Source organism: Homo sapiens, chromosome 10 (assembly GCF_000001405.40).
Source record: "Homo sapiens chromosome 10, GRCh38.p14 Primary Assembly".
NCBI classification, from domain to species: domain Eukaryota; kingdom Metazoa; phylum Chordata; class Mammalia; order Primates; family Hominidae; genus Homo; species Homo sapiens.
This window is the reverse complement of record NC_000010.11, coordinates 6,391,409-6,416,849: the sequence shown is the minus strand read 5'-3', so window position 1 is coordinate 6,416,849 and position 25,441 is coordinate 6,391,409. Positions and strand designations below refer to the sequence as shown.

The following is a 25,441-nucleotide window of genomic DNA, read 5'->3' as shown; positions in this document are numbered from 1 at the left end:
GACAACACTTTTACGCTGCTGGTGGGAATGTAAACTAGTACAACCACTGTGGAAAACAGTGTGGAGATTCCTTGAAGAACCAAAAGTAGAACTACCATTCAATCCAGCAATCCCACTACTGGGTGTGTACCCAAAGGGAAAAAAAGTCCTTCTATGAAAAAGACATTTGCACATGTATGCTTATAACAGCACAATTCACAACTGCAAAGATATGAAACCAACCTAAGTGCCCATCAACCAATGAGTGCATAAAGAAAATGTGGTCTATATACACCATAGCACACTACTCAGCCATAAAAAGGAATGAAATAATGTCTTTTGCAGCAACTTGGATGGAGCTAGAGACAATTATTATAAGTGAAGTAACTCAGGAATGGAAAACCAAACATCATATGTTCTCATTTATAAGTAGGAGCTAAGCTATGAGGATGCAAAGGCATAAGAATGAAATAATGGACTTTAGGGACTCAAGGGGAAGGGTGGAGGGGCTGAGGGACAAAGGTCTGCACAGTAGGTACAGTGCACACTGCTCAGGTAATGGGTGCACCAAAATCTCAGAAATCACCGCTAAAGAACGTATCCATGTAACCAAAAACCACCTGCACCCCCAAAAAAACTATTGAAATAAAAAATTCAATTAAATTTTAAAAAAAGAAGAATCTTTGTATTTTGCACTCATTGTATGTCTGCTCAATCATATCAAGAATCCAAATGGCTATATCCTAATAAATATTTGATTCCTACAGGCTTATTTGCCAAGTATTCTATAAAGTGGTCCATTCCTTTTTCAAAAGAGGAAAACAGGCCAGGCATGGTGGCTCATGCCTGTAATCCCAGCACTTTGAGAGGTCGAGTCGGGCATATCACCTGAGGTCAGGAATTCAAGACCAGCCTGGCCAATATAGTGAAACCCCATCTCTACTAAAAATACAAAAAATTAGCCAAGCATGTTGGAGGACACCTGTAATCCCAGCTACTCAGGAGACTGAGGCAGGAGACTCTCTTGAACCCAGGAGGCGGAGGTTGCAGTGAGCCAAGATCACACCACTACACTCCAGCCTGGGCAACACAGCAAGAGACTCTGTCTCAAAAAAAAAAAAAAAGAGAGAGAGAGAGAGAAACATTAGCAGCAATTGTCAACAATGGGGCTTCATTTATAATTTGACCCAAACAATCCCAGAATAGTACAAACATATGGTTCTGGGGATCTCAGCGCAGAGGGAATTCTACAATGGCAGTGACCAGACTTTAACCACTGGTGTGCAGTATGACTTGTTCCCTCCACCTTACCACAAGCTTGTTCTCATGCCTTCACCTCCTTAAGCTAAATTAGAAAGTTCTTAACCTGAAGTTCATGAATGAGCTGAAATTTCCTGTAAATTTTGAGTAAGTGTATATATATATATATATATATATATATATATATATATATATATATATATATGTATTTTCTTGGGCTTAAGATTTTCTCTTTATCACTAGGTTTAAGAAATTTGATTACAATATGTGTTGGTATCGTTTTCTTTGGTTTCTTGTGCTTGGGGTTCATTGAGCTTATTGGGTGGTGTGGATTTAAAGTCTTCATCAGGCCAGGCGCAGTGGCTCACACCTGTAATTCTAGCATTTTGGGAGGCCGAGGCGGGTGGATCACTGGAGCTCAGGAGTTGAAGACCAACCTGGCCAACATGGCAAAACTCCATCTCTACTAAAAATGCAAAAATTAGCTGGGCATGGTGGCTCACAACTGTAGTCCCAGCTACTCGGGAGGCTGAAGCTGGAGAATAGCTTGAACCCAGGAGACGGAGGTTGCAGTGAGTGGAGATTGCACCACCGCACTCCAGCCTGGGTGACAGAGCAAGATTCTGTCTCAAAAAAAAATTAAATTAAAATTAAAAAATAAAGTCTTCATCATACTTGGAAAGTTGGAGGCCATTATTTCTTTAAATGTATTTTCTGTCTCCTCCTCCTTTGGGTCTCCAATTGCATATATATTTGGCCACTTGAAGTAATCCCATAGTTCATTGATGTTATGGGGGTTTTCTTTCTTTTTTTTTTTTCTTTATCACTTTTATCTCAGGGTCTTGGATAATTTCTATTGCTATGTTTTCAGATGTACAAATCTTTACATGCATACAAATATTTTCTTTGTAATATCTAATCTCCCATTAATCCTAATCAATGTATTGATTATCTCAGACATTATAGTTTTCACCTCTAGAACTTCAATTGTTAAGAGATATTTTATGTCTAGACTTAATGTGTTCAATACTTCTAGCTTTTTGAATGTATGGAATGCAGTTATAATAATACATTGAATGTCCTTGTCTATTAATTTTATTATCTGTGTCATTTTGGGGTCAGTTTGATTTGTTGATTCGTCCCCTCCTCATTTATTTTTCTGTTTCTTTGTGTGCCCGGTAATTCGTTATTAATGTTGAATGTCAATACTTTTTCTTTGGTGAGAACTGGACATTTCTGTATTCTTAAAAACAGTTTTGAGCTTTGTTTTGTGATGTGGTAAAGTTACTTGGAAATTGGTACTTTCAGATCTTGCTTTAAATTTTACTGGAAAAGATCAACAAAATGTTTGATCTAAGGGTAGTTTTCCCCACTGCTTAAGATCTCCTGCAGACCTCAGGATTTCCCTTTCTCCAGTCACTGCCCTGTGAGCCCCAGCTGCCTGGGACCCTCTGGACTCTCTGTTCTACCTACATGACTCAGGGAACCTTCCGGAGTCACCTTGAGTTCCCCACGCATTTGCTGTGCCCTTGAAACCTTCTCCAGGTAGGAAAGTGCTACAATCTTGGGGATCACCTTATTTGCTCCCCATCTTTCAGGGACCACTGAGATTCTTTCTGACCTGATGTCCAATGTCGTCAGGGCTGTTATTTATTGTTAGATTTTGGTTGTTTCTGGTGGGAAGGCAAATCCAGTTCCTGTTACTTCACCTTGGCCAGCAGTGGAAAGCTCAAATATTTTTCTTTTAGCTGTTTAATCCAGTGCTTCCTAGTGTGTGTGTGTGTGCACGCGCACAAGTGGCATTTAATCCAGTGCTTCCTAGTGTGTGTGTGTGCACAAGTGGCATTTAATCCAGTGCTTCCTAGTGTGTGTGTGTGTGCGCGCGCACAAGTGGCATTTAATCCAGTGCTTCCTAGTGTGTGTGTGTGCACAAGTGGCATTTAATCCAGTGCTTCCTAGTGTGTGTGTGTGTGCACAAGTGGCATTTAATCCAGTGCTTCCTAGTGTGTGTGTGTGTGTGTGCACAAGTGGCATTTAATCCAGTGCTTCCTAGTGTGTGTGTGTGTGTGTGTGCACAAGTGGCATTTAATCCAGTGCTTCCTAGTGTGTGTGTGTGTGTGTGTGTGTGTGTGTGTGACATAATTTTTTATCCTCCCATGTCTACATCTTCCTAAGGATTAAAAATATTCATGTTGAAGAATAGGTTGTTGCAGAGGAGCCCAGGGAATGTAGGGAGATACTGTTTTTATTGGTGACATTGATGAGAAGTTTTAATATTTATATTTCATTTGTTTTTGCTGTTTAAAGTAAGCCTAACTTTTTTAGAGTGGTTGAAAACATAGAAAATTGTGATGTTTAAGGCCGGGCAGAGTGGCTCACGCCTGTAAGCCCAGCACTTTGGGAGGCCTAGGCGGGCTGATCACAAGGTCAGGAGATCAAAACCATCCTGGCTAACATGGTGAAACCCCGTCTCTACTAAACATACAAAAAATTAGCCGGGCGTGGTGGCGGGTGCCTGTAGTCCCAGCTATTCAGGAGGCTGAGGCAGGAGAATGGCGTGAACCCAGGAGGCGGAGCTTGCAGTGAGCCGAGATGGAGCCACTGCACTCCAGCCTGGGCAACAGAGTGAGACTCTGTCTCAAAAAAAATAAAAATAAAAAATAAAATTGTAATGTTTGTACAGAAAACTAGAGTACACGAGCAATTGTGCTCATAAGTGATTGTGGAAGGCAGCAACCAGCCTAGGAGTACTGACAATACCAGGCTGTACCTAGTGGCCCACTGAGGGATCAATAACTCAAGTCACTTGTAACCCGCTTACGCTATACCAGTGTGCACATTGGTCAGGAGGTTCTGATCTAATCAATCATGAATTTAATATATGACGTGAGATAGGCATCTAACCTTATTGATTTTCCAAATGGATAACCAAGTGACTCAATGCTGTTTTCTGAATGGATCTGTCCTTCCCCCACTGACTTAAAATTCTATCTTTGTTGTGAATTATTTTACCATACATATCTTTGCGTATCTTTGAATATCACCTGTTATGATCTATTGAGCTGTTTGTTCTAACATCGAGAACCAAGTGTTTTGGTTGTTATCACTTTATAGCATGCTTTGATATCTTAGCAAGGCAGTTCTTTTAGATGTTTTTCTTCTATATTCTTACACATGTGCTATTAAAAATGAACTTTAAAGTTAGCTTTAATTTCACTTTTTAAAACTCCCTTTTGATATTTTTATTGGAATTCCATTGAATCTCTAAACTGATTTGAGGATGATAAATTTCTTTTACATCTTAAAGCGAATTCGAAGATAACTAAACACTCCTTTGCCCAAATATGACTTTAGAGTCTTCTTACCATAAATCCATCACATTTAAAAGTCACTCCTCTTTTCCCAAGCATGATGGCATATGCCTGTAGTCCTAGCTACTCAGAGGCTGAGATGGGAGAATCTCTTGAGTCGAGGAGCTTGAGCTATGATGGCACCATTACTCTCCAACTTGGGCAACAGAGGAAGACATCATCTCTTAAAAAAATAAGTTTCTCCTCAACTTCCAGCTATTGTCTGGGTTCATAGGCTAATTTTGCCAGTGACTGAATAAACTTGAGGGAGTACTGAGATGCTGGGCATTTTTGTGTTTATCAAAAAGACTTAGTATCTATCAAATACTTAGAAGTGTGTGTGACCATAGTAAACAAATAAGTGTTATCTATCATCATCATCATTATATGGCATTACTATCCCTGTAAAACACTTCATCCTAAACCCTTTGTGTTTATCTCTCTGAGCTTTGATAAGATGTGGCCCTCAGGTGACAGTGATGAGTAGCCAACTCATAATGTAAACTATGTACCAGGGTCAGCAAATGTTTCTGTAAAGGACAATTTAGCCAATATTTTAGGTTTTGACAGCCATACAGTCTGTGTTGCAACTACTCAACCCTGCTGTGCAAAAACAGTCACGGCCAATACGGAAACAAATGGGTGTCCCAATGAAACTTTACTTACAGAACAGGGTTCGGTCTAAAGGCTAAATTTGCCAATCTCCAGACAAAATCAGGAAGTCAGTTTTATTTGTTTTTGATGTCCTTCTATTGTGTTATTATGATCCCTTTTTTCAATCACTTACCACCATAGGAATTTGTCTCCTCCTAGGGAAAATATCACCGGACCTTTTGGAGATTTCTGAGGCTAGAGTGATGTTTCTGGAATAACTGTCAAGCAATGCCAAGTTTTCCCAAGGGGCATGAGGAAAAAAATAATCATAGCTAATATTTACTGAGTGCCTACTATGTGCCAGGGAACTTTCTAAGTGCTTTAAATACATCAACTCCTTTAATCTCCATAATGACTATAAAAGGGAGGGGCTATGATTGTCCTCACTAACTGATAAAGAGCTTAAAGAACAGAAAGCCGAAATACTATCAGATAATTGAGTCCCTCTATGAACTATGTAGACTCCTCTCTCATTATAAGCTAGAGGCTACAAAATATACCGATGACCTAAGAACAATTGATTTTTCCGTAAAACTCAAAGATCAGCGTGCTAGCTCTAATCGTCCGCCGTGTTTCTCAACAGGGATGATTGGCATCTTGGAATGGACCTTTTTTTTTTTTTTTTTTTTTGAAACGGAATCTCACTCTGTCGCCTGGGCTGGAGTGCAGTGGTGTGATCTCGGCTCACTAAAACCTTCACCTCCCGGGTTCAAGCGATTCTCGTGCCTCAGCCTCCCCTGGGATTACAGGCACCCGCCACCACGCCCAGCTGGTTTTTGTATTTTTAGTAGAGACAGGGTTTCACCATGTTGGCCAGGCTGGTCTTGAACTCCTAACCTCAGGTGATCCACCCGCCTTGGCCTCCCAAATTACTGGGAATACAGGTGTGAACCACTGCACCCTGCCAGACAAGACTATTCTTTGCTGGGTGGAATTGCTCAACTCATTGTAAGACATTTTGTCTACCTGGCTCCCAAGCACTAAATGCCAATCATGCCCACCACCAACACCCCCAGGCTATTTTGAAAACCCAGATGCCCCTGTGCATTTCCAAACACCACTGCTACTTAGAGCCCTGGGTGATGTCATTGTTTTGAGTTAACCTCAGCAGCTGCTGACCTAGAAATAAAGCCCCACCCTCTGCCCTACATTTCCTCCCAAGAAGGCAGCAGCTTCACTCAGCTGGTATGATGGAGTATTCCAAACAGAAAACCAGCTGTGATCTCTGGCACTTCCAATTCCAATTAAGAGCTTTGTTCATTTAACTTAAGGATTTACATCACTTTAACATATCTTGTCAAGTAAGTAACACTTGAAATGACCCCATAAATGTCCCTTAAGAAGAACAAATTGCAAATCATCTCAAAAGGAAACAACAGATCATCAGACCAAAGCAGGAAATAAGAAAGGCCTGAGAACAGCTGGGTAACAGCATTTCAGCTCATCCAAGGAAGCCTAGGATTTCTTGTCAGTGGTAAGTAATGGCTATTGAATGCAACAGGAAGAGCGTGGAGACATTCGTTGAGCAGTGAGTAGCCCAGAGGGTAAAAGGGCTGACTTGCACTCCTTCCCCTTCATAGTTTATGAGCTTCTGCCAATCTTCTTCCAATGGAGAAGCTGAGCAGGCTCTTAAACTTTCTGTTTGTCGTGGCAACAAACAGCTTTTTAACACATTTCACCAAGGCATAATGAACTAACCTTTCTACATTATAAGACTTGTAATTTTGGCATTGGAGTAACTGCATGAACACAGAGACTTTATCTTAGCTTGCTATCTTAATTCTAGCTATTTTTCCCATTCCATGAAAATGATAGCTTTTCAATATATCAATATTTATGCTACATTATCTCCTCCAAGCTATAAAAAAAAAACCTTCTGTAGAGTTACCCACATTTAATCTAAATGGAAGAAAACATATTATCAAAACTGTGTCATTTGAAAGTTCTTTCAGGAATAGCTGAAATGAAATTCCAATTGGAAATTCCAGAAAGTGTATGTAAAATGAAAAAGAGGCCAGGCGCAGTGGCTCACACCTGTAATCCCAGCATTTTGGGAGGCCGAGGCGGGCGGAGCACTTAAGGTCAGGAGTTCAAGACCAGCCTGGCCAACTTGGTGAAACCCCATCTCTACTAAAAATACAAAAGTTAGCCAGGCACAGTGGTGCATGTCTGTAATCCCAGCTACTCAGGAGGCTGAGGCAGAAGAGTCGCTTGAACCTGGGAGGCAGAGGTTGCAGTGAGCCGAGATCGTGCCATTACACTCCAGCCTGGATGACGGAGCAAGACTCTGTCTTAAAAATAAATAAATAAAATAAACTAAAACAGAAAAAGAAATAGATACTTCAACTTCTGGCTGCGGGGAACACCCATATTAATGCCTGTTCTATAAGGTCACAAGCAACATACATCCAGATTTCATTCTTTTTCCACTGTCCTCCTTGGGCCAGTTACTAGTGGATGGTGACAAACAACCTTGGTCACTTAAAACACTAATTTCCTTTCCCCTCTCTCTCACTGTGAAAATGAAAAACCAGTATATATCCATGAGACTGGCAAAACTTGAAAAGTGAGACCAGAAAGCAAACTGCACAAAATTCACTTCATGAATCCCCTGCTGATCAAAGTGTAAACTGCAACAGTAGCTTCGGAAAACAATTTGGAATTGACTAGTAAAACTGAATCTGAACATGCTCTATGACCACCGTTCCACTTCTGCGTAAATTCATATTCAAGCTATTACCAGGAGGCAGTGTAAGAATATGGAGAGCAGCATTGTTCATAACAGCAAAAACCTATCAACAACCTAAATCCCATAAACGTTTGAGTGGATAAATAGCATCTTCCAATGAGTTAATAAACAGCTACTAACATCTCCAAAAGAAAGACAACTGGGTCTCAGGAAATGTTTATCACATGAAGAACAGAATACTCTCTCTAAAGCAGTCTTGCCAAGGCTAGGCGCAGTGGCTCACGCCTGTAATCCCAGCACTTTGGGAGGCCAAGGTGGGAGGATCACCTGAAGTCAGGGGTTCAAGACCAACCTGGCCAACATGGTGAAACCCCATCTCTACTAAAAATACAAAAATTAGCTGGGTGTGGTGGCAGGCGCCTGTAATCCCAGCTACTTGGGAGGCTGAGGCAGGAGAATCACTTGAAGCCAGGAGGCAGAAGTTGCAGTGAGCTGAGATCTAGCCAGTGCATAGCGGGGGCGACAAGAGTGAGACTCCATCTCAAAAAAAACAAAAAGTGGCCTTGCCAAAAAAACTAAATCCATCAATCAAACCTGAGTTTGGTCAAATGTCTATGTCCAAGTACTAATTTGTAAGAAATACAGAACACAGAATAATATGTCAAAGTACACCCTGGAGATGTAATCAGCAAAATCTAAACTGAGCAATTCCCTAAGATAAGTGTCAATAAATAAATTGCAAGGAAAAGTAGGGGAGATAAAACTATAGGTCCAATACAACTTAAAAGACATCAGTGAATCACAGTATATGGCCCTTATCCGGATCCTGATTCCAAAAAATGTAAAAAAAAAAAAAAAAAAAAAAAAAAAACTGACACAAGACCACTGGAAATTTGAACAACTGACTAAAGACTTGATACTACTAAACATTAATGTTAATTTTCTTGGTGTGATAACAGTATTGTGGCTAGGTTTTAAAAAGAACATTTTTAGAGAAGTTTCAAGATAGATATATCATTTTATACTTATTTACAAATACACATAAGGATTTTACAGATAAAATGATATGATATATGGGATTTGCTTGAATACTAGGGAGAATGAGTTAGGTGGGGATATGGATGAAACAAAATTGGCCATGAATTGAATCTAGATAATGGGACCATGGAGATTCATTACACTGTTCTGTCTGTTACATGAACACACACACCACACACACCATGTATGTACACGTCACATGCACATACCACACACATTCATTCACATGCAACCCATATACACACATCATATATGCGAACACCACAGATGTGCATGTCCCATGCACATACCACACACAATCACACATTCACACGCCATACACACATGCCATACACACACATGAACACACCATACACATGACACAAACACCATACATACACACCATACACACACACACACACACACACACTGAACATGTACACCACACATGCATGCATGCGCACACATGTAGCTTTCCAAGCACACCACATGCTTGCTTCTGGGCCCGACACAAGCTGCTGCCTGGAAGTCATTCCCCCTCACTTGAACGCCTCCTCCTGATTTCTGCTCCAATATTGCCCCCTCCAGATGCCTCTTATGCCCCCACTCATCCCCTCACACCCCCCACACCCCGGCACCATGCACGCCCACTGCATTCAGGACTGGGTGCTCGCTTACCTGCAAGCTCAGCCGGCATGGGATTGCATCTTCTCTGTCTCATGTCTCCAGCCCGCAACAGAGCTGAACATTTGCAGAGTGAAAGTTGGATAGATGAATTACCAAATTCTTTAGAGTGATCTGTTAGAACCCATAGCTCTTTTTGGGTTTGTGAAATTAGAAAAATGATGCCTGTGGTTTTTAAACTTCACTCATTGATCTTTTCAAAGGGCTTTACCCCCGAGGAAATACAAAGGATGGTATATTTTGCATATTCGAAGTGCATTCGTTCATTTCAACTTTATTAGCTGTGCTTAAATCATCATACTGAAAATGCATGTTTCTGTACTCATATGAGACATTCTAATTAATCTTACACTAGATCAACCAAACATTTGCATCTTGTAGCTGAAAAGTATCGTTTAAAAGTGGCTGAAACTCTGCTTCCTTGTTGGTTTTGACAGTGGTGAGTGAGTACCCATGGTAATGACGGTGAGCCATTCCCTCAGTGCCTCAGGCGGCACATCTTACTCCAGAATGAACATATTATCATAAGATCTGCACAAAGACATATTCGTTTCATGGCATTATTCAGAACTGTTTTGTGTCTATAAAAATTATAATAGCCTTCTGGTTAAACATAACACATTGACTAGAAAGTGACTCTCTTTTTCCTTTTTCAAAAAAACTTTATTGAAACATTAAAATAAACTGGGAAAGTAATTTAAAATTGTAATTAAAAATTACTCAGTACCATACAACAAATTCTGCATTGGTATAATCTGCAATCACAATTTTAGCCACTGGGGAGCGACTTCAGCAAACATTATTTTACAGCCGAATTCTGGAACCACAGGTTAGAGCTCAAAAGAACACGGGCCCCATTGTGCAAATTTTTCCTACTTTAGTCATGAAAAAAAAAAAAAAGTAGTTTGATTATTTGGTGTTAGAAACTGTCTGGAACACAGTTCTGAATTTTAAAAAGAACAATTTTAGGATGATATAGGCACTCTAAGGCATCTCCAGTTTCTAACATAAGTTAATTCTAACCCAAGGATTTTTCTAAAATGTTGTATATTTTAAATTCACACAATGCTTTAGATTTCACTCCTTATAATCTAATCTCAATTCCAAAGGGCATTATTATCATAATGCTCTTTCTCCATGTTGGTAAAATATGAAAAGTGTTAGTTGCAACAAAGGCCCAAAACAAATGGCCCAAATGTCCTCCAGGATGGGCCCTCTGAATGTGCGAGCTCTTGGTAGCAACATGCCTGACTTGAGGTTATACCAAGAAGAAATCATCATTCCCACTGAGGGTCTCCCAGCTGCATGGAAATGGGACAACATTGGTAACAGGTGCCAACCTGTGAGATTTTGGAGCTGTCATTGCTCCCCATGGGCACATGGGTGCACCAGTCATAGAGTACCATAAAGTAGCCAGCACTCCCGCACTTGTCCTTCAAAGCCTGACCCTTCCAGTAGCAGCAATCAGCTTCCTCTAGACCTAGAATCATGCGACAGTCCATTTGCAAAGAGCAGGATAAAGAACTTGAGCCATCTAGTGGGCTCTTGGGCATAGTTGGGAAGACGCAAGGCAAATTCCCTCTTCCAAAATATCCACCTTCCCATTCCACCACACTTAACACTTGGCTATTAAAAACCTTATTCTTGAGGTCAGAAAGACTTGCGGGGCGCTGGAGTTCCCCAGTGAAAATGCCAATAGCACTGGGTAATAAACACGTAAGTTATTGTCATGGGTGATTTGCAAACCTGCCAGCAAGGCAGTGAGCAGTTCCCTGGGTGGGGTCCAGGACGCAAAAGGAGAGAGTTCACGAAAGTCAAGATGAGAGGACGGCAAACGGAGAGCTGCCCAGTGCACAGATCTGCCTGAAGGAACACTGCTTCCCAAGGAAACACATCTGTTTGTTGTGAAGCTCTCACTATGAAAAACAGAATCTGACCGGGCGCGGTGGCTCACGCCTGTAATCCCAACACTCTGGGAGGCTGAGATGGGCAGATTGCTTTAGCTCAGGAGTTTGAGACCAGCCTGGCCAACATGGTGAAACCCTGTCTCTACCAAAAATACAAAAAATTAGCAGGGTGTGGTGGCGTGCACCTGTGGACCCAGCTATCTGGGAGGCTGAGGTTGGAAGATCACTTGTGGGAGGCAGAGATTGCAGTGAGCTAAGATTGTGCCACTGCACTCCAGCCTAGACAACAGAGTGAGACCCCATGTCAGAAGGAAAGAAAGAAAGAAAGAGAGAGAGAGAGAAGGAAGGAAGGATAGAAGGAAGGAAGGAAGGGAAGGGAAGGGAGGAAGGAAGGAGGGAGGAAGGAGAGAGAGAGAGAAAGAAAGAAAAAAGGAAAGAAAGGAAGGAAGAGAAAGAAAGAAGGAAAGAAAGAAAGAAAGAAGGAAAGAAAGAATGAAAGAGAGAGAGAAAGAAGGAAGGAAGGAGTGAAGGAAGGAAGAAAGGATGGAAGGAAGGAAGGGAAGGGAGGAAGGAAGGAGGGAGGAAGGAGAGAGAGAGAAAGAAAGAAAAAAGGAAAGAAAGGAAGGAAGAAAGGAAAGAGAGAAAGAAAAAGAGAAAAAAGGAAAGAAAGGAAGGAAGAAAGGAAAGAGAGAAAGAAAGAGAGAAAGAGAGAGAGAAAAAAAGAAAGAAAGAAAGAGAAAGAAGGAAGAAAGGATGGAAGTAAGGAAGGAAGGGAAGGAAGGAAGGAGGGAGGAAGGAGAGACAGAGAAAGAAAGGAAAGAGAGAAAGAAAGAAAAAAGGAAAAAAGGAAGGAAGAAAGGAAAGAGAAAGAAAGAGAGAAAGAAAGAGAAAAAAGAAAGAAAGAAGGAAAGAAAGAAAAGAAAGAACGAAAGAAAGAATGAATCCATTGTCAGAGTCTGGCATGGAAGAGGGTTTTTTATCTGAACATTGCAAGTATTTGAGTTAGACCTCTGGCCATGCAATCTCTCTCTCTCTCTCTCTCTCTCTCTCTCTCCCCCCCCCTTCTCTCCCTTTCTCTCTCTCTCTCTCTCTAGTTTTTTCTTTTCTCTTTCTCTTTAATGCCATTAAAGGATTTTTGCCCTTATCTAATCTTGGCAAGGAAAGGGTAGAATTCTGCATTTTTTTATTCTTGCTACTAAAACTGTGACCATAATCCTAAAAATTGTCTCTCAGTTATTAGAATCTGTAGGCACTTTTTCTCCATTTCCTCTCCCCCTTTTTAGGCCTTCGTATCCTGCTATCTCCTATCTTTTCCTCATATGCACCCTAATGTCTTATCTGTCACCATAGAGATTGTAAAATCATGAAGACCTGTTGGCCTAGCATCTGTTCTTAGGAGGAAATAAATGAGTGTGTGTGTGACTTTGGGAACAAAGTATTGCTGAGGCTAATGATTACTCATTCATTTTTTTTTTCATTCATTTATCCCTGAAACAAACAATTATCGAGCACCAACTATGTCTTAGGCACTGGGAATACAAAATTCAGTTAGCATCATGCAGACCCTTTAGCTGTCTCCATTTCAATAGGAGAGATAAACACTGGATTGCAATACATTGTGCTCAGACACAATAATAAGAGGTGCGTAGATTAAAATGGTCTGACACAGCATTTGAAACATCCATATAACACCTTTCCAAAGCTTCCTCAGGCCATGAGCATGGGGAGAAGCTTTGTTTCTGTGGTTACCAAAGGTCTCATCTTAGACCCACCAAAGTCGGCAGAAACCTGAGAGTGAGCCGGGAACTCACGGTTCAGGGACACTGGATATGCCCCAGAGATAGCAGAGGGGAATGAAGACATGAATGCTGAGCTGGGCTCTGCAGGTGTTGGATGGTCAAACCAAGCTGCCTGGATCATTATATAAAAATAACATCAGAAGCACTTTTCTCTTTTCCAAATAGAAGGGACCCTACTCCATAGCCTTGCCCTACTCCGACTAAGACACTGGCAGCGAACTCCTTAGTGTTTGCCACACTATGGTGTCCTTGAGAAGTCTGAATCCTGCCGCACCCCACCTCTGAGTGTCCACCGTCTGCACATTGCCGGAAACTAGGTGTTTTAGCACAGAGCTTCAGGCATGAGAGCGACCAGCAGGGCCGGCCAGTGCCCGGTGCTATGCCTGGCTTCCTTGCCCTGCATGTTGATTGGCAGAGGAGATAAAACACAAAAGGAGCACCAGTGAAGGGATAGGAGAGTAGAGCAAGGTAGAGAGGAAGGGAGGACAGGAAGCAGGGAGGAAAAGCAGCAGCCAGGTGGTCAGGAGATAGTGTGCAGACACTGAATTAAAAAGTGGTCCTAATTCCCTTCATGGAATTCTTTTTGTTTCTATTTGGTTTTGAGACAGAGTCTCATTCTGTTGCCCAGGCTAGAGTGCAGTGACACAATCTCAGCTCACTGCAACCTCCACCTCCTGGATTCAAGTGATTCTCCTGTCTCAGCCTCCAAAGTAGCTGGGACTACAGGTGCCCACGACCACACTTGGCTAATTTTTGTACTTTTAGTAGAAACGGGGTTTTGCCATGTTAGCCAGGCTGGTCTCGAACTCTTGACCTCAAGTGCTGGGATTTACGGGCATGAGCCACCCTGCCCGGCCCTTAATAGAACTCTTAAAGGCCACACAGTGCTTCACTTTATACAAGAAAGCTCGGAACAGAAAAAGTAGTTACTGCCACTCTTCTTTGAAATTGTTAAGTCCCCTTTGCTTCTTTGGGTACACGGAGAAGTTGCCAAGGCAACCCGAGCAGGGAGATGCGGAGTCAGGCTTTTCTGTCTGTGTCCTTCATGTTGGGTACAGTGCTTCACACATGGTAGGCGTGAGGGAGGAAAGAGCGGAAGGAATAGATGAAGCTCAGCTTTTTTTTTTTTTTTTTTTTTTGGCATTGAAATTGCACTCTTTTGGGGTTTTTTAAAATTATAGTTTAAGTTCTGGGGTAGATGTGCAGAACACGCAGTTTTGTTACATAGGTATGCACGTGCCATGGTGGTCTCCTGCACCCATCAACATTAGGTATTTCTCCTAATGCTATCCCTCCCCTAGTCCCCAATCCCCCAACAGGCCCCGGTGTGTGATGTTCCCCTCCCTGCGTCCATGCGTTCTCATTGTTCAACTCCCACTTATGAGTGAGAACATGCGGTGTTTGGTTTTCTGTTCTTGTGTTAGTTTGCCGAGAATGATGGTTTCCAGCTTCTTTGCAGCGTCTGTGTTCTTCCAATAGTTCCCAGCCGCACTATTTTGGACTTGAGTCACTAGAGGGAGGCAGAGGAACATGAAAAAGCTGCAGTTTCCGTCCCTGCTGGGCAGGGCTGCCTCAGACCTGAGCTGAGGACTCAGGAACTTCAGTGACCAGGCAGGATTAGAGATGGGAAGAATTCCAGGCTTCAGCCTTCCCCTTAATTCAAGATGTGTATTCTGCCTTTAATCAGAGTGTAACCTATGTATTTGTAGGAAATAATAAGAAAAAAGCTGCTTATTGCAGAGCCATGTAGAATTATCGGGTGGAAGTCAGAGAAAGAGACGGCGGGTCAACAGCTCCCAGCAGACAGCGTGACTCAGCAGGAAAGCCCGTGGGAATCAGAGCTTTGGGACCAGAGTGCCCTGGCCCCGCAATCCTCACCAAGTGGCTGGCGCTCAGAACCCCAGGTGTTGTAATCAGTAAAAGGGTGGCGGTAATCACTTCTACCTCATTGGGTTACTATACAAAGCACGAAAATGGATCAATATTTAAAAAAAAAAAACCAGCCCTCTCCTAAAACAGAGGAGAACTATATGGATGTCAATCCAATTATTACTATTAACCATGTGTTCAAGTCATGAGGTTGTCTACTTAATTATGTCCTTAAAGTTTGTTGACCTTAAATAAGGTGATACAGAAAATATGATGAAGTATGGGGTTTATTTGAGTACAGAGCTTGAGAACGGTCACCCGGAAAACACAGACCCCAAAGGGACATGCTCTAAAGTGGGGAAGCTAAGGCTGTGCTTACATAGGTAGAGATGGTTTCGGCAGGTTGCAATGTTTTCCGTGCAAGGCTAGATACATGTCATAGCGATTTGATTAGGGTGGCTTGCTCCATTCCATGGAAGATGGCTGTAATGTTCTGTGAGGACAAGAGTAATGTTCTGAGGGGTCACCACTCAGAGGGTCTTATTTCTGGTGCTACTCGGTCATTCCTAATCGTTTACGGGAAAAAGCAGAAGTTGCAACGGCATGCTATGTGACTCAGTCCATTTCTCTCAAGGCTCAGAATAAAGTTCCAACAGTTTTAAATTTGAATTATTTAATTTTGCAAGTTCTCCAGAAGACAGTAAGCTCTAAAAGGGAACGAACTATGGTCGTTGTTCTTAGCATCTAACATGGTACCCATTCAATATTTTTTCTTTCTTTCTTCTGCTTTTTGTAGAAGTGGGGTCTTTCTATGTCGCCCAGGCTAGATTTGAACCCCTGGGCTCAAGCATCGTCCCACCTCAGCCTGCCGAGCACCCAGGACTGTAGGTGCATGCCAGCTGGCAGATTTTTTTTTTTTTTTTCAGTTTCTTAAATGAATGAGTAAAAACACTTACATGTAGCCAAACCATATAATTTACTAGCTAAAATGAGCCTTTTTTTTTTTTTTTCTGAAAGGAAGCACTGTTAGCAATTACTCCAGGAAACAGGTTAAAAGCAGAACTGTCCTGGGCCTGCCGAGACACGGGACGTGGGATTGCTCGAGAGATCCAGCTCTCGCTGTGTGTTGAAATATAGTTCAGGGCACACTGCTCAGGGCTGGGACTGCCCTGCGTATATGACAGTATTAAGTCATCTCACCTGCATAACAACACAGCGAGGTTGGTACTGTGACTACTCACATTCAACAAATGTGTATGGACCACCTGCTGTCTTCCAAGTCTTCCAGAATCTTGGAATGCATCAAAACACAACAAGCAAGATGTCTGTCCTTTCAGAGCAGGAGATGAGGAAGACAGACAGTAAATCACAAACATAGCAAACAAGTAAATTACATAGTTTGCTAAAAGGTACTGGGGCTACAGATGAAAGAAGGGCAGAGCCGGGGGATTCAGTGTTGAATGAGGAAACTCAGGTAGAGAACACCAAGTCAGCAGCCGACATCTCCAGCTGGCTAGTAACAGAGCCCCATTCTAACTTGGGCAATCTGGCCACGTTCCTGCTCTTCACCTGGACTCTGCCTTCTCTTTCAGTTCTGACGTGCGTCAAACCGTGCAGCATGTTCAAATTCATTCAAATCCATCAGTGGCACAGAAGAACACACAAAATCTGGCAATACTTCCTTGAACTAAACTCAGTGTCCGCCCCCCCAACCCCCGATTGATGCCAGACATTTGCCACCCTGGGGACTTGATCTGAGTGACCTTGGGTTCATAGGAGATGCTGGGCCCTTGGAATTGATTGTCTACCCTGTAGGAATGGAGGCCACATCTCTGTTCTGCCTGGAGAACTTTTTCATCATGAGTTTGTGGAATCCGCCAGCCAAGCCCACCAGACAGGACTAAACAAACGACTCTAGGGGGAAAGGCCAGGCTTCCTGAAAGTCTAAATTGCTTGAACTAATGCTGGCATTTCAGCATTTTGAGCCATTCAAGCCACATGATGTCAAACTTCCTCTCCTCCACCCCCATCTCCTCACCCTGCTCTCTTCTGCCTCTTGACCTTCCTCATCTTGTGGCTCTGGCAAAACTCCAGGGTGGCTATTCAACCTGTCTCAACACACCCTGTGCCAAAAAAAAATAAAAAGAAGGAAAAAAAAAAGGGGGCAATTTCTGTCTCCAGGGCAAGGGCTGCTGGGCTCAGCCGGGTGGATGTTGCCAAGAGCGCAGCAATAGCTCCAGGCTAGGCAGGGAGCACAAAGGAATCTTTAAATTTAAAACTCACTGCAGAAAGGAATTGAGCACATTCTCAACATTCTGAGTCTGTGTGTTTATGTTTAAATATTCCAACCACTAGCTTACATACCATCTAGTAAGTAAATCACGGTGAATATTTATCGAGGACCTACTATATGCAAGGCACTCTGCTCACCATTATTTACTTGTGGGGACACTATGGCTTTCACCCAAAGCTGTCATTCTCTAGGCTGCCTTTTCATATCTACAAAGCAAGGGAGTTTACATTGACAGTCTCCAGAAATTCAGCTTTAATGGCTGGGTGCAGTGGCTCAGCCATTGTATCATTGTATCATTGTATTGATATGCCTGTAATCTCAGCACTTTGGGAGGCTGAGGCAGGCAGATTGCTTGAGTTCAGAAGTTCGAGACCAGCCTGGGCAACATGGTGAAATCCTACAGAAAACTCTATAAAATTTTTTTTTAATTAGTTGGGTGTGGTGGCTTGCACCTGTGGTCCTAGATACTCGGGAAGCTAAGGTGGGAGGATGGCTTGAGCCCAGGAGGTAGAGGTTGCAGTGAGCTGTAATTGCGCCACTGCACTCCAGCCTGGGTGACAGAGCCAGACTGTGTCTCAAAAAAGAAAAGAGAAAAAAAAAGAAAAAGAAAAATTCAGCTCTAAAATTGTGACTCGTTCCTTGCTCTACTGTGAGCATCCTGAAAGCAATTGTGTCTCCTTTCTCTCTCTCTCCCAGCATCTAGCACAGGCCATGACATGGAGGAAATGATGGGTAAACGTCCATTGAGCAAATCAAACTTCTGAAATAAGGCTCTTCAAGAAGGTTTCAACAACCAACCAAAGGCTGACTCACATGCCCACTCCAAATGAATGAGAAAACATATTATAGAATTTTCCTGTTGTTGAACAGCTGGGCACAGAAAGCTTTTTTCCTCCATGAAAGAATATTGACTAACTTATGCAAGCCTCTCAAAATCTAAAAGTATTTTCCAACACACAGTCAAATTATATGACAAACAGCCCTTTATTTTAAAATAAATATCATCTTTTGAAGAACTAAGTTGGAAGACTTACACTTCTTAATTTCAAAACTTACTACACAGTGACAGCAATCAAGATATTGTGGTACTGGCGTAAGACTAGACATGAAAATCAATGGAATAGAATACAGAGTTCATACATAAATAAGCCTATACATTTATGGTCATCGACTTTCAACAAAGGTGCCAAGGGAATGCAAAGGAGAAAAAATAGGATTTTCAACAAATGATGCTAAGAACAGCTGAATATCTACATTCAAAAGAATGAGCTTGAACCCCAATCTCACACCATGCACAAAAAGCAGCTCAAAATGGATGATAGACTTAAATGTAAGAAGTAACACTTATGAGATTCTTAAAATAAAACATAGGGATAAATCTTGACTTTGGGTTAGGCAAGGATTTCTTTCTTTCTTTTTTTTTTAGACGGAGTCTCGTGCTTGTTGCCTAGGCTGGAGTGCAATGGCACGATCTCAGCTCACTACAACCTCCATCTCCCAGGTTCAAGCGATTCTCCTGCCTCAGCCTCCCGAGTAGCTGGGATTACAGGTGCCCACTGCTGTGCCCGCCTAATTTTTTGTACTTTTAGTAGAGATGAGGGTTCACCACATTGGCCAGGCTGGTCTCAAACTCTGACCTCAGGTGATCCACCCACCTTGGCCTCCCAAAGTGCTGGGATTACAGGCATGAGCCACCGCACCCAGCCAGCAAGGGTATCTTAGATACAATATCACAAATATGGAAGCTAGAGGTAAAAGTTGATAAATTGGACTTTCATCAAAATAAACAATGTCTGCACTTTAAACAACACTATCAAGGAAGTGAAGAGACAGCCAAGAGACTAGGAGAAAATATTTGCAAATAATATATCTGATAATGCAATAGTATACAAAATATATAAATATTACAACTCTACAATATGATGACAAAAATTCAATTTAAAAATAGGCAAAGGGGTCGGACATGGTGGCTCATGCCTGTAATCTCAGCACTTTGAGGGGCCAAGAGGGCGGATTGCCTGATGTCAGGAGTTCGAGACCAGCTTGGCCAACAGGTGAAACCCCGTCTCTACTACAAATACAAAATTAGATGGGCAAGTTGGCGCATGCCTGTAATCCCAGCTACTCGGGAGGCTGACGCAAGAGAATCACTTGAACCCGGGAGGCAGAACTTGCAGTGGGCTGAGATCATGCCACTGCACTCCAGCCTGGGCAACAAAGTGAGACTCAAAAAAAAAACAGGCAAATAATTTGAATAGACATTTTTCTAAAGAACATGTGCAAATGGCCATTAAACACATACAAAGATGGTCAACATCGTTAGTCATTAGAGAAATGCAAATAAAACCACAATGAGTTGGCACTTCGCTCCCTAGGATGCCTACAGTAAAAAAGATGGGCAATCGCATGTGTTGACAAGGATGTGGGGAAATTAACCAACATACAGTGCTGCTGGGAATGTAAAATGTTGCAATGCATTTGAAAAATAGTTTGGCAGTTAAATTTTCAACACATGGTTACCATATGACCTAGCAGTTCCTCTCCTAGTTATATATCCAAGAGAAGTGAAAACATATGTCCTAGTCAAAGACATGTGCACCAAGCTTCGCTGCAACATGATTCATAATAGCCAAAAGGTATGAACAACCCAAATGTGCATCAACTGATGAATGGATAGACAAATGTAGTGCCATACTCACACAACAGAACGCTACTCAGCAATAAAAAGGAATCAGGTGCTCTTACATGGTATAATATAAGTCAGCCTCAAGAACATTAAGCTAACTGGAAGAAGCAAGTCACAAAAGACCATGTAGTATATGATTCCACTCATGTGAAATATCTAATGGAAGCAAATCTATCGAGACAGAAAGTAAATTAGTGTTTGCCTAGGGCTTGACATGGGGAGACTGGGGAGTGACCTCTATGGGTACGGAGGCTCTTTGCGGAGTAATGAAAATGTCCTGAAATATGACTGTGATGGCAGTTACACAACTCTGTAAATATATGAAAAGCATTGAATTGTATACTTTAAAAGGGTAAATGTTACGCTGTGTGAATTGTATTGTATCTCAATAAAACTTGTTTTAGTAAAAACATCAACTCTTGAGGGCAAAAAAAGCCTTAGTTTTAGCCAAGTTTCTAACATCTAGCAAATGGCAAGGGGAATTAAATGCTGGAGTCTAGTACTTAGGGGTGACTTTTTACATTTATTATCTATTTAACTATGATAATAGTAGCATCTAAGTTCCCAGGACAGAGATGATATCATTATCGATCGCCATTTGCTATTGGGAAGTTTTAATATCTACTAATGTTTTTCAGTCCCTGGAGCTAGGAAGTCTCACTGCTTGAGGATTCCATTAAGTCTTCCTGCATCTTACTGATGGGGAAAACTGAGGGAACGCTACAATGGTGTATTCAGACCCGTCACGAGAGCTAAATAGAGTGGGAGCAGAGAAGGAAAAGGTTGGCCTCTGAAAAATATACTCAGTACAGGGCACTGACGGTCAGGACCTCGGCAATGTTGGTAATGAAACCGCCATTGCAAAATAATGACTGAGACAGTGAAAGAGATCTGACCTGACTCCGCCTTGCTTCTAACCTCCAAGCTGTCCTTGTTTATTCCTGGGCTGAGCTAACTTTGGGAGGGACTTAGTTTATAGTTTAAAACAAAGACGATAATACCCCTTTCCCAAAACAAACCTCCTTCTTACCTGGGGACTAGACTGCCTTTGTAGAGCTAAGAAATTAGCCACAAGATTAGAAATTATGGTTTAGGAGTCACGCAATTGGAGGCTACGGGATTCTGACCCTCCCTAAGCTGCTCCTAAGATCAGGGCTTGAGATATTTTGCAGATCCTGCACTTGATGGATCAGCTGGTACCTCCTCAGGAGCCTTCTCCCCATTTACCAAATTATTCTTAAAAACTCTGATCCCTGAATGCTCAGGGAGACTGGCTTGAGTAATAATAAAACTCCAGCCGGCCGGGCGCGCTGGTTCACGCCTGTAATCCCAGCCCTTTGGGAGACCGAGGTGAGCGGATCACGAGGTCAGGAGATCGAGACCATCCTGGCTAACACGGTGAAAACCCCGTCTCTACTAAAAGTACAAAAAATTAGCCGGGCACGGTGGCAGGCACCTGTAGTCCCAGCTACTCGGGAGGCTGAAGCGGGAGAATGGCGTGAACCCGGGAGGCGGAGCTTGCAGTGAGCCGAGATCACAGCCACTGCACTCCAGCCTGGGAGACAGAGCGAGACTCCGTCTCAAAAAAAAAAAAAAAAAAAAAAAAGACTCCAGCTTCCTGCACAGCTGGCTCTGTGTAAATTATTTGTTCTCTATTGCAATTCCCCCGTCTTGATAAATCGGCTCCCTCTAGGCGGCGGGCAAGGTGAACCCACTGGATGGTTACAGTAACAGCAAAGGTCGCACCGTTCCGGCACAAGGAAGACCTTCAGGGAAGAGTCATGAAGAGAAGGAGTGAATGATGTATGTGTGGAAGAACAGTATCAAGCTATTCCTCTCAACCATTCTTATTTGACACAATCACTATTTGTTTTTGAGAAAATAGATTATAAAATGGCCCTGCTTCTTGCGAGCAGCATGGATTTTCTTTCTCCTCCTGGGTTTTCAACTGTAACTTGCCCTTTTCTCAGTCAGTTGCTGGGCTGAATTCATCAGTTCAACAGCTGACCCACCGTGGACTGCACGTCTGACGATTTGGCGTATGTATTTACAACACGTATCTGAGAAAGCCGGTGCCCCTGGCACGTAACACTACCCATTCCGAAATGCCGCTGAAGGTCAGAAAAAGGAATGGTGCTGCTCAGTGAAGCTGACAGTCAGAAAGCTGTTTTTTGTTTGTGTTTATGTTTTGCTTTTTGGTCTCTCTTGCATTTTTAGATGTTTGTGTTCTAATTCTTCCCCCTTCTACTCCAGGAGACAAGTGGCAAATGGGAAAAATGACTGACCTAGTTCAAGAACCTGACCATCGGTGGAGTGCTGTGTGCCCTGTGAATGCACAAGCAGACTGCAGAGGCGCCAGGTGTCCTGTCTCTGGAGATCAGGCCACTACACTTACGACAACAAAGGCAGATGGGGGAGGACCCAGAGTGTGTCAAAGTCGTAATCACAAGGCCAGTGCTACACCCTGCTTATCACCAAAGATAAGGAATGAACGACATGACACCTTCACATATAAACTAATCAGAATTTAACATCATACATAAATGGCAGTAGCAGCTTCCTTTTCACATGTATTCTAAGAAATCATTTCCTCCTGCCTCTTCATGTATTAATTTAACATGCATTGATTATCTACCCCATGACAGTGTGCTAAGAAAGTTACAAGCATAAGTAAAGCTCAGACCCTACCATAGACCTAAGATTTTACAATCCAAGAGCAGGGCAGACCTGAACACAAGTATGCATGGTAAGATGCAATGTGTGATACAATTAAAAACACACTGTGATCGGCCTGGCGCAGTGGCTCACACCAGTAATCCCAGCACTTTGGGAGGCCAAGGAGGGTGGATCACGAGGTCAGGAGTTCAAGACCAGCGTGGCCAAGATGGTGAAATCCCATCTCTACTGAAAAAAATACAAAAAAATTAACCAGGTGTTGTCGGGGACGTCTGTAATCCCAGCTACACAGGAGGCTGATGCAGGAGAATCGCTTGAACCCAGGAGGCGGAGGTTGCAGTGAGCCGAGATGGAGCCACTGCACTCCAGCCTGGGTGACAGAGCGAGACTCAGTCTCAAAAAAAAAAAAAAAAAAAAAACACTGTGATCAAACTGTGGGACAATAAGGCACTCCCCCACAAAAGAACTTTCAGACCCCAGATTCTGTGAAATGTCTCTGAGACAGTTGACTAAAAACACACAGTTCCTCCTGCATTTTCAGATTAATGGATTGATATTCTGTGAAGGACCTCCTGTGTCAGGAGTCTGCAAACTACAGCCCATGTACACCAGTCCAGCCTACTGCCTGTTTTCATAAATAAAGTTTTATTGGAACACAGCCACGGTCATGCACTTAGGTATTGTCTGTGGCTGCTTTTACCATAGTGGCAGAGCTGGGTCGTTTAAAAGAGATCACATGTGAAAATATCTACTCTCAGGCCCTTCACAAAAGTGAAGGTGAAAAATATTCACTCTCAGGCCCTTCACAAAAAAAGCCAAACACTTTACTGAGAAAAACATATCCAATATATTTAACAGCAAAGGGTTCACATAAAGAAAACTATAAAATCAAATCAAAGCACCAAAAACAGGTTTGAAGTAAATGGAAGCATATTCTATGATGAAAAGACAATAACAATAACATATATATAGATACACATATACATATAAAAAAACTCTCCCAACAATTAACATACAAATTTAATGTCTTTCCAACTAGTGATACAGGAGTTAAGAAGAAATCACTAAGGCAGATAGTAAGGGTATGGGAGTCCTCGATAAGGTTCTCCTCTTTAAGGAAAAGCATCCCCAAATCCTTTTCTAACAAACAGCAGCCTTAAAGTCGAGCTGCAAACATAGACAAGCAAGCTGGGAGCTCGCTCAGGTGAGTGCTGGGCAGGAACTAGGGACTAGACATGTTCAAGATGGCGGCTCAATCTTTCCTTCTCTTTGTCAGCCACCGGTACAGTGAAGAGCAGGCAAGATGGCCCTGATCAACTGGAAAGCCCATTTGCATAACAAGACTGGTGGGGCAACCAGCCTTCCTTGTAGGCTATGTAAAAGTTGTAAGTAATCTAACCAATCTGTGAGGCCTACATAAATCAGACACCACCTCCTCAAACCGGGCTATAAAATCCGTTGCCACCCAGTCTTTTCCACTTGGAGACTCCTTTCTCTAAGTCGTTTCTCTTTCTCTTTTCTTCTGCCTATTAAACCTCAGCTCCTAAACTCCTTTTGTGTGTCTGTGTCCTAAATTTTCCTGGCGCGATGACGAACCCCAGGGTATATACCTCAGACAATGTAGCCGTTTCACTAATATCTCAATAAGGTTTAGGGGGTTTTTGTTGTTGATTTGTTTTCGTTTTGATTGCTTGCTTTATGCTTAAAATTAAATCATATTATCTTAACATTTATATTATGTGAAATAAATGCCCAAGTATAATCCAAAATTTTCTGGAAAAAAGAGAAAAGGGGAACTTGCTTTAGAAGTTATGAAAAACACTTTTAAGGCACTGTAATAAAATTAACATAATGTTAACGAGGTAATTAACATAATATTGACAAGGTACAGAATCCAAAGGCGATATTTTAATTTCGTGGGGGGAAAGGATGGATTATTGAATGCTATTAGAAAACCTTTAGGTAAAGATGGTGGATTTAACATGTGCATCTATTTTCACTTCTTCCTCAAAAACAAAATGCACTAAAACAATAGCAAAATAACTTTTTTTTTAGCATAAGCCCTCAAAGATAGGGGAGCTGGAAGGATCTACAACTGTAACAACATTTTAAGGAGAGAAACCAGATAAGGAGTAGAAAAAAGACCAAGCCGGAAGTAGAGAGAAATCCTAGGACCAAACTGAGGCAGGCTTTCCCAGAAGCTCAGAAATTCTGTACATCTAGATAAACGTGGGAATAAAAGAAGGGCTAAAATAAAGACAGTTTGTTGAAAGTTTGTTTAAGAAACAGGGCCACATGTCCTCTTCCCCGTTTCAGCAACTAAGCTCCTAGTTCTTCCTACTTTTGCAAAAGACAGTAGGTTTATAGTCAGAGGAGGGTACAACAGAGAGGGTCTCTGGTATGAGGGACACTAAAAGGATGAAGGAAAGGGATTAAATGTATATATGCTGAGATGCCCTCCCCAGCATGCAGAGTCAGGCTTTCAACCCAGGTGAGCTCTCAGTTGAGTTTTCTGTGGGACATGATCAGGCTGAGAGGACAAGAGAGCAGCCCAGCCAAGGAAGTTCTCAAGCTCAAT

The 25,441-nt window shown here is 42.3% G+C and overlaps 1 protein-coding gene and 1 long non-coding RNA gene across 3 annotated transcripts in view, besides 1 other annotated feature; both read left to right on the top strand.

The window, feature by feature from the left end:
* PRKCQ (protein kinase C theta) overlaps nucleotides 1–22,753 on the top strand; it is a 186,550-nt gene extending 163,797 nt beyond the window's left edge. For both annotated transcript variants that reach the window (NM_001323267.2, XM_005252497.5), the window contains exon 18: nucleotides 22,441–22,753. In NM_001323267.2, coding sequence (NP_001310196.1) covers nucleotides 22,441–22,467 — 27 coding nt within the window. In that variant the 3' untranslated portion in view covers nucleotides 22,468–22,753. The remainder of the gene's footprint in view (nucleotides 1–22,440) is intronic.
* Nucleotides 6,255–6,756: an enhancer, noted in NCBI's record as "NANOG hESC enhancer chr10:6452056-6452557 (GRCh37/hg19 assembly coordinates)". NCBI's record gives its function as "activates a minimal SCP1, AML or CMV promoter by ChIP-STARR-seq in primed H9 embryonic stem cells {active_cell/tissue: H9 hESC(primed)}" and the evidence as "EXISTENCE:reporter gene assay evidence [ECO:0000049][PMID:30033119]".
* On the top strand, nucleotides 6,420–18,521 carry LOC124902370 (uncharacterized). The gene is made up of 2 exons (XR_007062044.1): nucleotides 6,420–6,717; nucleotides 15,049–18,521. It is a non-coding gene; the product is annotated as an uncharacterized LOC124902370 (long non-coding RNA).
* Nucleotides 22,754–25,441: the final 2,688 nt, after the last annotated feature.